Raw genomic sequence first — 15,284 nt, 5'->3', positions numbered from 1 at the left:
ATGTAATCCGCTGACCGCCTGTCTCTGGTTCAGCTTCCAGGCCGAGCGGCCCGCGTTAAACGTCGTCATCTTCCCTCTGCTCCACGAGGGCCTGACCGACGTCATCCGGGACGTCCCCCTGGTGCACCTGGATGAGATCACCTTATTTAAGAGCAGAGTGGCCGAGGAACCGCCGAACCTGTGGTGGTGAGAGGCGGAGCCGCCGCCCATCGGTCTCAGTCACCTCGAGAAGCTGCAGGAGCCTGGGACGCCAGGGACCCTTGGTTTGTCACAAGAGGAAGGGGGCCTCTCTCCCGGCCAGCCACGCCCCACCTGGCTCCTGGGGCTCCCGGCGTCTCCACGGCTCTCTCATGGGGACTGTTGCTCTGTGAAGTTTAGGTCGAGGGGATGCGTTCTGGGTGACATGAGGGGGCTCGGGGGACGGTCGATGTGGGGGGCTGGCTGAACCAGGCTGACCCTTGGGGCCTGGCTGGGGGGTTTGTATACTGAGCCGCAATCCCTGGGGGCCCTGTCCACGGGCCTGGAGGGCCCGAACCCCCTGCCACTTCCGACCGGGAAGCGTGTCCCTTGGCTGTTGTGTTTGTGGTCACCTGCCACCGGGGCCCCGTGGATGGGCGGCCACATGCTGTCCCCCTGAAGTCCAGTCGGCCGGGCTGGTCACCGTGTATCTGAGTGTCCCCTTGCATGGTCAAGTGTGACATGGGGAAGGGCCTGCCAGTTTAGTGGCTGCAGACTTGGGACTCTCCATCCCATTAGGACACACTTGAGCCCACTCATGTCTCTGGGGCTTTTCTAGCCAGATGATGCCTGTGGCCCCAGAGAGGTCCCCTGAGGTTGGGACTGCTGGTTGGAGCCTCTCCTGTGACTTTTCAGCCCAACCAGCAGGGCCCGTTTCTAACGAGAGAGGCCTCCTCCCCCTCCCACCCACCCCACGGCCTTCAGCTTCCCTGGGAAGGTCCATGCGCGTTCCTGGGGAAATCGATACACATTCGGCTTTGTTAGAATAACGCGAAACATTAAAACCCAGAAAGGATTCTTAAGGCTGGAGTAGCAATCACATGACCCCATTTCAAATGACTTCATTTAAGACTTTAAAAATACTCAGCTGGGCGCGATGGCTCACGCCTGTAATCCCGGCACTTTGGGAGGCTGAGGTGGGTGGATCACGAGGTCAGGAGTTCAAGACCAGCCTGGCCAACATGGTGAAACCCCATCTCTACTAAAAATACAAAAATTAGCTGGGCGTGGTGGCGGGCGCCTGTAATCCTAGCTACTCAGGAGGCTGAGGCAGGAGAATCGTTTGAACCTGGGAGGCGGAGGTTGCAGTGAGCCGAGATCACACCATTGCACTCCAGCCTGGACAACAGGGTGAGACTCCGCCTCAAAAAAAAAAAAAAAAAAAAAAAAAAAAAAAAATATATATATATATATATATATTCAACACACTTTGGGAGGATCACTTGAGCCCAGGAGTTTGAGATCAGCCTGGGCAACACAGGGATACCCCATCTCTGAAAAAGAAAGAGAAAAAAACAAAGTTATTCCAAAAATGAGGACATCCTCCTGGCATCTGAGTCCTCACCCCATGTGCCACGGTGGCCGCTTCTGCCGTCCTCCACCTCCAGGCGCTCCTAGAGCTGTCCCTGGGCCAGTGGCTTCCAAAGGGGGCTGTAGTTGGGCCCTGCTAGCCTGGACCGCCGCCCTGGCCGCTCTTGGTGAAGGGCCCCTTGTCCAGCCCGCCTTCCTCCTCCTGGGTTTCCGTGTGACAGATGCCCCGTCCTGTGGGGTGGTGTCTCACATTTGCTTTGCTGTTAAAAAATGGGGTACACCATCCCCAGGCCTCCAATCACCGGCCCTGCCCCTGAGTGGGGATGGTTTTCAGCAGCTCCTTGCTCTGGGGGCCAAGCTCCTTGTCCAGGAGGCCTTTGGAGAACTGGGGTCAGAGCTGTGGGGAGGTACAGCCCTCCTGTGCAGGCTGCCTCCCAGCTCTCCACCTGGCAGTCTTGACCCCACCCTGGCGCCTCTGCTCACTGGCACAGGTGGATCTGGGGTTTGAGGTCTCCTCCCACTTCACCCTGACTTTCTTGTATGTATGGGGTCATCGCCTCCTCTCTGAAGCCCACGGGTCCTCTCCCAGCCCCAGGCTGCACCCAGTGCAGAACCTTTGCCTCCTGGCCAGAGGGACCCTTCTGCAGGCTGATTCCAGCAGTGCCCGATGGTGGGACCCACACCAGACCAAGCCTTCGCCTCCCAGAGGCCTCCTGGCCCTCCTGTCATGGCCTGTGAGAGCCACACCCCTAGGCCCCGTCTCCTAGTCTGCAGGCCGCAGGACCAGCTGCCCACGGCCCCAGGGGGCAGGGGCTGTAGATGAGGGTCTCAGAGGTGGTGGGAGCACCCCCCCCACCCACAGTTCCTGGGCATTTCTTTAGAGCTTTAAAATGGCACCTGGAGACCACCAGGCGCGGCGATCAGATCGGGTGGTGTGGTGCCTCCTGGGACTGACCACTTCTTGCTCTCCGACCAGGCAGGGGCGAGTGGCCTGGGAGGTTCCCGGACCCTCAGGGGGCCTGTGTCTCTGGGCACCGCAGCTCCGCCCCACTCCTTCCTCCAGAACATTCCCCACTCGGGCTAGAGAATTGCGTCTGCTCCAGGAATGCATCCTAGCGTGTGTACGATCGCGCCTGGGTGTCCTGTTCTCATGAGCAAGCGGTTTTAACCAGCAGCATAATTTATACTCATAGACAGGACTGGGGGAAGGGCTGTTCCTGAGGCTGGGGTGCAGTGCCTTGGAAAGCACCCCTGAAACAGTGGACCTTGTATTTTTAGTGTCCCCTGCAACCATCCTCTGACTTAGAGCAAGAATTTCCGCTGCTGCTACCCCCGAGATGGGCTTCACCAGATGTTAATAACGTGCTTATTTTCTCTAAGTGCTATTTTGGCACCAGCGTTAGTTGCAATTTATATTCTGCAGCATTTGATGCTGGGAAAAGAACCCACCCTAATGGTCCCCAATTGGCAGAGCTCGGCTGTTAAGCAGCAGACCATATGCTGCCTGCTGGAGGAGCGTGGTCAGCACTTGTCCCCGTGCCTGCGTGCGTGTGCCTGCGTGCACGTGTGCCTGCGGGTACCTGTGCCCTGTGTGTGCACATGTGCCTGCATGCGTGTGCCTGCGTGCACGTGTGCCTGTGTGTACATGTGCCTGCGTGTACCTGTGCCCTGTGTGTGCACGTGTGCCTTCGTGTACCTGTGCCCTGTGTGTGCATGTGTGTGTGAGTCACGTCTTCCGTGTGTGTATGTGAGGGAGAGACTGTGGGGTTGGAGGGAGGGAGGAGGGGAAAGGGTATGTATCCCTTTGTTCTTTAAAAGGGAGAGCCCCAACCTCTCTGGCTGCCCCCTCCTGCCTGTGCTCCCAGCTCACCCCACACCTAGCTGCTATTTATTCTCCTGACCCCCTTCCCGGCCCTGCAGCCCCGTGTCCCGCAGCCTCCGCCCCGCCTCCTGCTCCACGTCACCAGGCAACACTCGGCTCCACCAGGCTTCCGAAGGTGGCCCAGAGCAGGCACTTGAGCCTGATGACCCAGAGCAAAGCTGCCTTTCTGGGCCTTGAGTACTCCTTTCTGCTATGGAAGGCTTTTCTTGTTTTCAACGGCCCGTCCAGCCCAGGGGGGCTGGGTGAGGGCCGCTTCCTTCTGCAGCAGAGGGGGCGGGCTCTATCCTTGCCATCTGCTGCCCCCAGAGGCCCTGCCAGGACATGGGCCTGAGCGGTTTCTTCTCCAAGAGGCCCTCCTGGGACCTGTCTGTGCACAGGGCGGGAAGACACTTGCTGCTTCGACCCAGGACGGCAGCCAGGACGGGCTGAGCTCCTCTTGCGCTGCAAACACACAAGGGTTGCCTGCCAGCTCAGCAGCGCCCTCCCTCAACCACACCCTGGGTCCGGACCCAGAGCCACAGGCCGTTGGACCCAGGGGACCGGGGCTGGGCTCAGGCGTGGGCCTGGAGGGCTTGTGGAGGGGCCAGACCTAGAGCCGTAGGGCTCCAACAGCTGAGGGCTGGGCCCCTGCCGGCCAATGAAGCTCCAGACCAGTGCTCCGGCCTTGGCGGTGCCAGCAGTGCTCCTGCAGGGATGGAGGGTGCTGGAGGCCTGGATGCGGGGACCTTGATCCCCCAGCAGGCAGCGCTGTGGCAGCCTCCCACCTCCTCTTCCCCTGTTATCTGCTCCTTTTAGGATCTGAAAATTACAGAGCCTTTTTTTTTTTTTTGAGAGGGAGTCTTGCTTTGTCCCCCAGGCTGGAGTGCAGTGGCACGATCTCAGCTCACTCACTACAACCTCCACCTCACAGGTTCAAGCGATTCTCCCACATCAGCCTCCTGAGTAGCTGGGATTACAGGCACCTGCCATCATGACCGGCTAATTTTTGTATTTTTGCAGAGATGGGGTTGCACCATGTTGGTCAGGCTGGCCTTGAACTCCTGACCTCAAGTGATTCTCCTGCCTCGGCCTCCCAAAGTGCTAGGATAACAGGTGTGAGCCACCGTGCCTGGCGCATTACAGAGCTCTTGTAAGAAAACGTGTGAAATTCATGGACAAAGTGAGGTGATGAAGTGTGGGGCCACTAAACCAAAGGCAGAGGAGACGTCGGCCACTTCCTGTGGACGTGGGCAGAGCGCTGCTGCCAGTTCCTGGTAGCCTTGACCACGACGCTGGGGGGTCTTTGTGATGGTCATGGGTCTCATTTGCACTTGGGGGTGTGGGATTCAAGTTAGAAGTTTCTAGATCTGGCCGGGCGCAGTGGCTCACGCCTGTAATCCCAGCACTTTAGGAGGCTGAGGCAGGCGGATCATGAGGTCAGGAGATCGAGACCGTCCTGGCTAACACAGTGAAACCCCGTCTCTACTAAAAATACAAAAAAGTAGTCGGGTGTGGTGGCGGGCGCCTGTGGTCCCAGCCACTCAGGAGGCTGAGGCAGGAGAATGGCATGAACCTGGGAGGCGGAGCTTGCAGTGAGCTGAGATCGCACCACTGCATTCCAGCCTGGGCGACAGAGTGAGACTCCGTCTCAAAAAAAAAAAAAACAAAAGAAGTTTCTAGATCTACTGGGCATGATGAACACAAACCCCACAGACACTGAGGAACCCAGTGGTGGCAGTGACTCGGGCTCCTCTGCTCTCTAAAGCTCCTTTGAGAAACATGGGAGGGGCCGGGCGTGGTGGTTCACGCCTGTCATCCCAGCACTTTGGGAGGCTGGGGCAGGAGGATCGCTTGAGCCCAGGAGTTCGAGACCAGCCTGGGCAACATAGTGAGACTGTATCGCTACATAAAATAAAAAAAAAAGTTAGCTGGGCATTGTACATGTGCCTGTGGTCCCAGCTACTCAGGAGGCTGAGGCAGGAGGATTGCTTGAGCCCAGGAGTTGGATGTTGCAGTGAGCCAAGATCGCACCATTGCCCTCCACTCTGGGCCACGGAGCAATACCCTGTCTCAGAAAACAAACAACAAAAAGCAGAAACGCTGAAGGGGTCGGTTTACGGGAAAACCGCCTGTCAGAACACTTGGCTACTCCTACCCCAGATCAGTGGACCTGGGAATGAGGGTTGGTCCCGGGAGGCTTTTCTCCAAGCTGTTGCCACCAGACCCGCCATGGGAACCCTGGCCACAGAAGCCTCCCGGGGAGTGAGCCAGAGCCTGGACCGCTGTGCTGATGTGTCTGGGGTGGAGGGAGGGTGGGGAGTGTGCAAGGGTGTGTGTGTGCCCGGGGGGTGTTCATGGGCAAGCATGTGCGTGCCTGTGTGTGTGCGTGCCCCTCCCCTGCAGCCGTCGGTGGTATCTCCCTCCAGCCCCTTCGCCACCTTCTGAGCATTGTCTGTCCACGTGAGACTGCCCAGAGACAGCAGAGCTCCACGTGGTTTTAAGGGGAGACCTTTCCCTGGACCTGGGGGTCTCGCCGTATCTCATGACCAGGTGCTAAATGACACGACATGCATCACCTGCCTTTCGATGACCAACCTCCCTGTCCCCGTCCCGCTGACCTGCCCCCGTGGCGTCTCACGGTGATGCCTGCTCCTGACATTGGTGTTCACTGTAGCAAACTACATTCTGGATGGGAATTTTCATGTACATGTGTGGCATGTGGAAAATTTCAAATAAAATGGACTTGATTTAGAAAGCCAGGCGGCTGTGTGGTCCTTCCAGCACGGATACTTTGACCTCTTGCCTACAACCCCTTCCTTGGGTCCGAGGCTGGTAGCTTTGTTCACTTCCGATGGTTGGGGGCGGGTGCCGTGCTTGGGGAGGCGGGTTGTCTGAAACAGAGGTGTGTGGATGGAGACACAAGACCCAAAGCGGGGGGCAGACACTCCCCAGGGGGCATCAGGAGGTGACAGCTGAGACAGCCTTGGGCTGGGGAGGCCAAAGGTGAAAGAGGAGGCTGCGTAGGTCAGGATGGGCCTGGCAGGGAGCAGTGCAGGTACACTGGCACGGTTGTGCAGGCTACACACTGCAAAAGCCTCCCTGTGGTCTGGTGGCAGCTCAGACAGCAAAAGTGGTGGCTGGCTGAAGGCAGGCAGGGCCGAGTCAGCTTAGGCTTTCCCTCAGGGCTGTGGAAACAGCCTCAGCATTGTTCATTTTATTTTATTATTATTTTTTGAGATAGAATCTTGCTCTGTCGCCCAGGCTGGAGGGCAGTAGTGTGATCTCAGCTCACTGCTACCTCCGCCTCCTGGGTTCAAGCGATTCTCCTGCCTCAGCCTCCGGAGTAGCTGGGATTACAGGCACCCACCACCACGCCCAGCTAATTTTTAAAATATTTTCAGTAGAGACGGGGTTTCGCCATGTTGACCAGGCTGGTCTCGAACTCCTGACCTCAAGTGATCCACCCGCCTCGGCCTCCCAAAGTGCTGGGATGACAGGCGTGAGCCACCAGGCCTGGACCATCTTAACCATTTTAAAGTGCATAATTTGGCCAGGCGCGGTGGCTCACGCCTGTCATCCCAGCACTTTGGGAGGCCGAGGCGGGCGGATCACGAGGTCAGGAGATCAAGACCACCCTGGCGAACACGGTGAAACCCCGTCTCTACTGAAAATACAAAAATATTAGCTGGGCGTGGTGGCGGGCGCCTGTAGTCCCAGCTGCTCGGGAGGCTGAGGCAGGAGAATGGCCTGAACCCGGGAGGCGGAGCTTGCAGTGAGCCGAGATCGCGCCACTGCACTCCAGCCTGGGTGACAGAGCGAGACTCTGTCTCAAATAAATAAATAAATAAATAAATAAATAAATAAATAAAAAATAAAGTGCATAATTTGCCAGCGGAGGATTTTTTTGAAGAAAAAAAAGTAAAATAAAGTGCATAGTTCAAGCTGGGGGCGGTGGCTCATGCTTGTAATCCCAGCACTTTGGGAGATCGAGGCAGAAACAACACTTGTGCCCAGGAGTTTGAGAGCAGCCTGGGCAACGTAGTCAGACCTTGTCTCTACAAAAAGTACAAATATTAGCCGGGCATGGCGGCACACACCTGTCTGTGGTCCCAGCTACTTAGGGGGAGGCTGAGGCAGAAGGATCGCTTGAGCCTGGGAGGTCACTGTTGCAGTGAGCCGTGATTGCACCACTGCACTCCAGCCTGGGTGACAGAGCGAGACCCTGTCTCAGAAAAAAAAAAAAAACGAACTGCACAGTTCGGTGGCATTAAGCACATCACAGTGTTGTGCAGCCATCATCACCATCCGCTTCTAGAACTTTCTCATCTTTCCCAACTGAAACTCTGTCCCCATTAAACATTCACTCCCCAGCCCCCTCCCTCAGCCCCAGGCACCCACCATTCTACTTCCTGTCCCTATGAGTTTGACTCCTCTGGGTGCCCCATAGAAGTGGAATCTGGGCCAGGCACAATGGCTCACGCCTGTAATCCCAGCAGTTGGAGAGGCCAAGGCTGGTGGATCACCTGAGGTCAGGAGTTTGAGACCAGCCTGACCAACATGGTGAAACCCCATCTCTACAAAAAGTACAAAAATTAGCCGGGCATGGTGTGGCGCACGCCTGTAGTCCCAGCTACTTAGGAGGCTGAGGGAGGAGAATCACTTGAACCTGGGAGGTGGGGGCTGCAGTGAGCCAAGGCCGCACTATTACCCTCCAGCAGCCTGGGCAACAGAGTGAGACTCCACCTAAAAAAAGAGTGAAATCTGCAGTGCATGTGCTTTTTTTTTTTTTTTTTTTGAGATGGAGTCCCATTCTGTCGCCCAGGCTGGAGTGCAGTGGCACAATCTCGGCTCACTGCAACCTCTGCCTCCCGAGTTCAAGCAATTCTCCTGCCTCAGCCTCCTGAGTAGCTGGGTAAGAGGCATGTGCCACCATGCCCAGCTGTTTTTTGTATTTTTAGTAGAGACGGGGTTTCACCATGTTGGCCAGGCTGGTCTCGAACTCCTGACCTCAGGTGATCCACCCACCTTGGCCTCCCAAAGTGTTGGGATTACAGGCATGAACCACCGCACCCGGCACTTGTGCTCTTGAGGCTGGTGTATTTGCAGTGTCAGTTTGGGGCAGAGACCTCCTTTACCTGTCCTGGGCTCTGGGAAGAGGCTCGGCCCAAATGTGGCAGGAGGTGGGAGGAGGCACCAGGATCCGGATGGGGACAGGGCTGCCGGCAGAGGGTGGGCTCCAGGGCTGCTGCAGAACGGAGCGGCCAGGGTGGGGCCCCTCACATGAGCCAGGGACTCAGCAATGCCTCCTTCTGGCTTGGTTCTTGAGGTGATGGTGTTTCTCTGGCAGAAATGGCGACATAGGGCCAGGAGCCTCCCATCCTGCCCAACATTGTCTGAGCCGTTGCCTGCAGCTTGACATGTACACACCGTCCCCTGGTGATGTCTTGTGTCTGGCTGGAGGGAAATCAGCGGTCGGTGCTGGGGAATTGGGCAGTGGGTGGGGGCTGATACTCTGTGCTGCCGACGCCAATGGCTGCAGCAGGGGAGAGAGGATGGGAATGTGTGCAGCGAGGAAGCCCAGGAGCCCTTCCTTCAGAGGAACATGTGAGACTGTCATTACAGTGACAGGCAAGCGGGGGAGAGGAGCGCCAAGGCTGAGCAATAGCCAGAAACATTCTGTCTTGTACATAACAAGGCACTCCCAAGTTCAGGGTCCAGAACGGCCACTGTGGGGTGCTCACGGCTTCTCCAGGGCAGGTATTTGCACAGGGGATGGCACTACGAGTTATCTGTTCCATGGTGTCTGGAGCCTCCACCACAGTGACTCAGCAGTTGGGGACTGAAGTCTCCTGGAAGCATCTTCACTCGCAGGTCTGGTGGTCAATGCTGGTGTTGACCTGGACCTCAGTGGGGCCTGTGGCCAGAACACCTCCATGTGGCCTCGTGTGGCCTCTCCATGAGACCTCTCCATGTGGCCTTGTCACGTGGCCTCTCCATGTGGCCCCTCCATGTGGTCTCTCCATGTGGTCTAAGTGGCCTCTCCATGTGGTCTCTCTACATAGGCTAGTTGGGCTTCCTCACAGCGTGGCAGCTGGGTCCCAAGAGCAAGCGTCTCCAGAAAACCAGAAGGACGGGCCCTGGCTTTGGCTGTCACATGGCATCACTTCCACACCCTGTTGACCAAGGCAGTCCCAGAAGCTGCCACAGTCAAGAGACGGGGCACAGACCCCCCACTTGCCAGGATGAGTGATGAGCTGTCATTGCAGAAGACCTCTTGGGGTGGGAGGTCATGTTGTGGCCATTTTTAGAAAGTGCGTCTTAGTGCACTGGGCCTGTTGGTGTTGGCCTTGGCCTTGCTGAGGGGCGTGCTGGGGGTGTAGTGGGGGCAGCGGCTTCAGCCCAGGTCTGGGGGAACTTGTGTTTTCCCACACACCTCCTGAGCTGATGCTCCTGCTTCATTTTTGTTTTGAGATAGGGTCTTGCTCTGTCACCCAGGCTGGAGTGCAGTGGCGTCATCCTGCTTCACTGCAGCCTCGACCTCCTGGGCTTGAGTGATCTTCCTGCCCCAGCCTCCCGAGGAGGTGGGACTGTAGGTGCGCCCCACCACACCACACAGGGTCTTACTGTGTTGCCCAGGCTGGTCTCAAACTCCTGGGCTCAAGAAATCCTCCCGCCTCAGCCTCCCAAAATGCTGGGATTACAGGCGTGAGCCACCGCGCCTGGCCATGATGCCCCTGTTTTGTGGGGGGCACTACGCCAGGGAGGCCAGAACATGCGAAGAGCCCTGAAAAGGTCAGGGGTCTGTACCTGGAGTCGACTGAGTGTGTGAAGCCGCCTGGCCTTTGTCCATGTGGCGAGCCTTTAAAGTAAAAATGAAAAGCACTTTGGGAGGCCGAGGAGGGCAGATCATGAGGTCAGGAGATCGAGACCATCCTGGCTAACACGGTGAAGCCCCGTCTCTACTAAAAATACAAAAAATTAGCCGGGCGTGATGGCGGGCTCCTGTAGTCCCAGCACTTTGGGAGGCCGAGGCAGGCGGATCACGAGGTCAGGAGATTGAGACCATCCTGGCTAACATGGTGAAGCCCCGTCTCTACTAAAAATACAAAAAATTAACTGGGTGTGGTGGCGGGCGCCTGTAGTCCCAGCTACTTGGGAGGCTGAGGCAGGAGAATGGCGTGAACCCGGGAGGCGGAGGTTGTAGTGAGCCGAGATCGCGCCACTGCACTCCAGCCTGGGCGACAGAGCGAAAAAGCCCCGGCCCGTGTGTTCCGAGGGTTTGCACTGGAAGCCTCGGGAGTCGTGGCTGGAGGAGGGCGGAAGAGCCAGCTCGAGAGGCTTTGGCTGCCCCCAGGAGCCCTGCACAGCGGCTGATTTATTGCGGGCGTTGAACTTGCAGGATAGTGGAGATGGCGTGACGGAATCCTAGCTTCGGAGCCATGGTTTGCCGTGACCCTTGCTTTGCAGATGAAGTCGGGGCGCCCGGGGGTCAGCTGCCTGCTTAAGGCCACGCAGCTAGTGGTGGTTAGCGTGTCGCACAGTCACAGAGCCCGGGTGAGATGCTGCACGCTGGGCCTCTGCTCTGCACGGATGAGGGAGGGGAGTCCCTACTCAGATACCATTGGCAAGGACACAGGGACGCCTCTGCGTGGCTGGAGCAGCCTGGGAACCCGGCCAGCCTTTCTCAGCCACCGCCATCTCCAGGCCTTGGGTGAAGGAGGAGAGCTCCCAGCCGGCCGCGCTGGGAGAGCAAAGGATGTCACCTGTGTCCCTTCACAGGTGCCGGGGGCCACTCTGCTGTGTTCCAAGCTCAGGAAGTGGACATCTCCCCCCCGGGAAGGGGACATCTCCCCCCCGGGAAGGGGAGGGGGCAGCCTCTGGGCCGGGGGTCGGAGAAGCCTCTGCGGAAGGGGCCTGGGGGTCTCCCCTTCCTTTTGTGTGTTGTGTCTTGTGTCTGCCTGCCCTGTGGAAGGCTGGCCGTGGTGACACTCAGGAGCCGGGAATGGTGACTTGCTGGCCAGGCCCTTCCTGCGGTTTCTCTGGGCAGCTCAGAACTGCGGGTTTCCCAGAGTTCCTGGCTCTCGGGTTTCGTGGCAGCTCAGGCTCCCGCGGGCACGGGTGTCTTGGGAACTCTGATGTGGAGGGTCCAGGAGCTGGGGCAGCTGCCCGGGCCTGCGCTGGGTACCCGCCTTGGGGGCAGGGTGGAGGGGTGGATGTGTGAGGGGTAGGGAGGGGCACGCCTTGGTCACGGGGCCCCTGAGGGTGGCGCTGTGTCCCCTGCCATGATGCCAGACCCCTGCTGTCCCTCTGGGGATCGGCCTCTGTGTGCCAGGCCCCCTCGGCCAGCATGCAGCTGAGCCTTGCAGAGCCTGGGGAAGATGATGGCTGGCAGGGGAGGTGCCCCAGCGTCACTGCCCGAGGCTGATCTCTAGCCCCTGCTGGGAAGGCACACGCTCCATCAGTCCCTCACCCACGCCCGCAGACTGGCACACGCACACGCATGTGCACTCACTCGTCCAACGGCCCCACGCCCACGCCCGTTCATACCCGTACACTTCAGACACTCTGACAATCACATGCCACATCCCACACTCTGACATTCACACACGGACGTTTACTCGCACACTCCGCATTCACACACACCACACCCACACACATGCCCTCGCACACACACCTGCACACTCACACTCAGGCTCATAAACCCTCTCCCGTGTCACACCCATATCACACACACACAGTTCCAGCAGTGCTCACACTTCCACATGTCCACAAACACCGCCTGAGTCCACACCTCCACCCCAGCCACACAGACACACCTCTGCTCACCCCACACGCACTCTACTTACACGGACACCCCATGCTTTCCACGGCACGCTCCCACGCTCACATCCACACACGGAGCTTCCTATATGCACACCCTTGCACGCTCACACTCACACCCACACCACACACGTTCTCATCTCCACGCAGCACCTGTGTGGATTTGCACGTACACCCCCCCCACACACACCCACACACTGATAGCTCACACATTCACACTCACGTGCACAAGTACAGATGTGCTCATTTACACACACATGCCCGTGTTCACTCATGTAGCACACACATGCTCACATAACTCACATTCTTTTAAAAAAATTTTTTTTGAGACAGTCTTGCCCTGTTACCCAGGCTGGAGTGCAGTGGCACGATCTCAGCTCACTGCAACCTCCACCTCCGGAGTTCAAGCGATTCTTCTGCCTCAGCCTCCCGAGTAGCTGGGATTACAGGTGCACGCCACCATGCCTGGCTGATTTTTGTATTTTTAGTAGAAACGGGGTTTCACCATGTTGGCCAGTCTGGTCTCGAACTCCTGACCTCAGGTGATCCACCCACTTCGGCCTCCCAAAGTGCTGGGATTACAGGCGTGAGCCACAGAGTCCACTCATAACTCATTCTTACACACATTCTTCATACATAGTCACTCAGACATGTCCACACAGATGCAGACACACACACAACCCCCACTGCTCACGCACAGTCTCCTATGTCTCATCACACCCGCACACCACACACTCTCAATTCACACACACATTCACACACCAAAACAAAGGGACTGGATTAATTTTATACACCTAGTAGTGAACACAGCCAGTTTGATTAGAGGTGAACTTAGGCCCTGGCATGTTGGCTCATGCCTGTAATCCCAGTACTTTGGGAGGCTGAGATGGGAGGATCACTTGAGGCCAGGAATTTGAGATCAGCCTGGGCAACATAGTGAGATCCTTGTCTCTACAAAAACTAAAAAGTTAGCCCGTCGTGGTGGTGCGCGTCTGTAGTCTCAGCTACTTGAGAGGCTGAGGTGGGAGGATCGTTTGAGCCCAGGAGTTGTTGTCTGCAGAGAGCCAAGATCACCACTGCACTCCAGCCTGGGCAACAGAGTAAGACGCTGTCTCAATAACTAACTAAATAAATATAAAAAGAGGTAAACTTAGTTCTATTATGTTCCTTTTCTAGAAAATGTGAAAATTTCCGAAAAGTAGAACAGAGGGAAAAGATAGTTCACACCCACGTTCTCACCCGCCTGGCAGTGCATCCGTTAATATTTCAGTTAACGTCTTTCCAGCCTTTGTTCTAGGCTCTTAAAAAATGTCTGAGGTGGCTGGGCGTGGTGGCTCACGCCTGTAATCCCAGCACTTTGGGAGGCCAAGGCGGGCAGATCATGAGGTCAGGAGATCGAGGCCATCCTGGCTGACACAGTGAAATCCCGTTTCTACTAAAAATACAAAAACAGGGCTCGGCGCAGTGGGTCATGCCTGTAATCCCAGCACTTTGGGAGGCCGAGGCGGGCGGATCACGAGGTCAGGAGATCGAGACCATCCTGGCTAACACGGTGAAACCCCGTCTCTACTAAAAATACAGAAAAATTAGCTGGGTGTGGTGGCGGGCGCCTGTAGTCCCAGCTACTCGGGAGACTGAGGCAGGAGAATTGCTTGAACCCGGGAGGCAGAGCTTGCAGTGAGCCGAGATCGTGCCACTGCACTCCAGCCTGGGCGACAGAGCGAGATTCCATCTCCAAAAAAAAAAAAAAAAAGTTCGAGGCTGCAATCATTGGATTTCGGGTCCTGCTTTTCTGCTCACACACGCAGTGCAGCCTCTTGGGTTCCTCCATCATTTTAATGACAGGGCTTTGCTGTCACAAGCTCTTTCTGCTGTCAGACAATTAGGTTGTCTCCAATGAGTCAGTCTCCTAAGGAAAGCAGCTCCCATCTCCTTAGGCTGCTGTTTCTCTATCTTTAGGATTGTTTCTTTAGAAGAGACTCTCCTTAGTGAAACGGCTGGAGCGGAGGATTAATATTTTTTGACGGGGAGGAACTTTGAGGACCCCAGAGGCGGAGCTGTGTATCAGGTGTGGCCTTAGTGTCTTTCCCTGGCGTGATCTGGCCCTCGAAACGGGAAGGACAGCTCTCAGCTGCTGCCCAAAAGGGTATTTTTATTTGCAAAGTTCCCTGATTTCTTTTTTTTTTTTTGGAGACGGAGTCTCACTCTGCCTCCCAGGCTGGGGTGCGGTGGTGTGATCTCGGCTCACTGCAACCTCCGCCTCCCAGGTTCAAGTGATTCTCCTGCCTCAGCCTCCCGAGTCACTGGGATTATAGGTGCCCACCACCACACCCAGCTAATTTTTTATTTTTATTTATTATTTATTATTTATTATTATTATTTTTTAAGACGGAGTCTCGCTCTGTCACCCAGGCTGGAGTGCAGTGGCGCAATCTCGGCTCACTGCAAGCTCCGCCTCCCAGGTTCAGGCCATTCTTCTGCCTCAGCCTCCCGAGCAGCTGGGACTACAGGCGCTCGCCACCGCGCCTGGCTAATTTTTTGTATTTTTAGTAGAGACGGGGTTTCACTGTGTAAGCCAGGATGGTCTCGATCTCCTGAACTCGTGATCCGCCCGCCTTCGCCTCCCAAAGTGCTGGGATTACAGGCGTGAGCCACTGTGCCCGGCCAATTTTTAAATTTTTAATCGAGACAGGGTTTCGCCGTGATGGCCAGGCTGGTCTTGAACTCCTGACGTCAGGTGATCCGCCTGCCTCGGCCTCCCAAAGTGCTGGGATTACAGGAGTGAGCCACTGCCTGTACATTTAAATTGATGTAAATTCTGTTGCGCATTCGTTCCCCACAAGCCCACTGAGTTTGCTTTTGTGTCCCGAGATGGGGCGACCTCCAGCTGGCTGCCTCCGGGATTGAGGATCAGGGTGATAGCTGCAAACTTTGTCACCCCCAGGAGTCCCGGGCTCCTGCCTCCCTCCTGCCTCCTGCCCAGGCCTTGGCTGGGTCGTGGCACGGCGGTGCTGTGACCGGCTGTGGAGGCAGAATAATGAGCCCCAGAGATGTC

General features: G+C 56.8%; 1 protein-coding gene across 4 annotated transcripts in view; it reads left to right on the top strand.

Moving 5' to 3' along the window:
* Positions 1 to 15,284, top strand: part of FBXL18 (F-box and leucine rich repeat protein 18) — a 59,385-nt gene that overhangs the window by 31,845 nt on the left and 12,256 nt on the right. For 3 of the 4 annotated variants that reach the window (NM_001367781.1, NM_001367780.1, NM_024963.6), the window contains exon 5: positions 34 to 6,168. The exons of the other annotated variant lie outside the window; for it this stretch is intronic. In NM_001367781.1, coding sequence (NP_001354710.1) covers positions 34 to 190 — 157 coding nt within the window. In that variant the 3' untranslated portion in view covers positions 191 to 6,168. Of the gene's footprint in view, positions 1 to 33; positions 6,169 to 15,284 lie in introns of those variants that run through there. 4 annotated transcript variants of the gene reach the window in all.

Source organism: Homo sapiens, chromosome 7 (genome assembly GCF_000001405.40).
Source record: "Homo sapiens chromosome 7, GRCh38.p14 Primary Assembly".
NCBI classification, from domain to species: Eukaryota; Metazoa; Chordata; class Mammalia; order Primates; family Hominidae; genus Homo; species Homo sapiens.
Note: the sequence above shows the minus strand (reverse complement) of the source record. Positions and strands in the feature narration are given on the sequence as shown.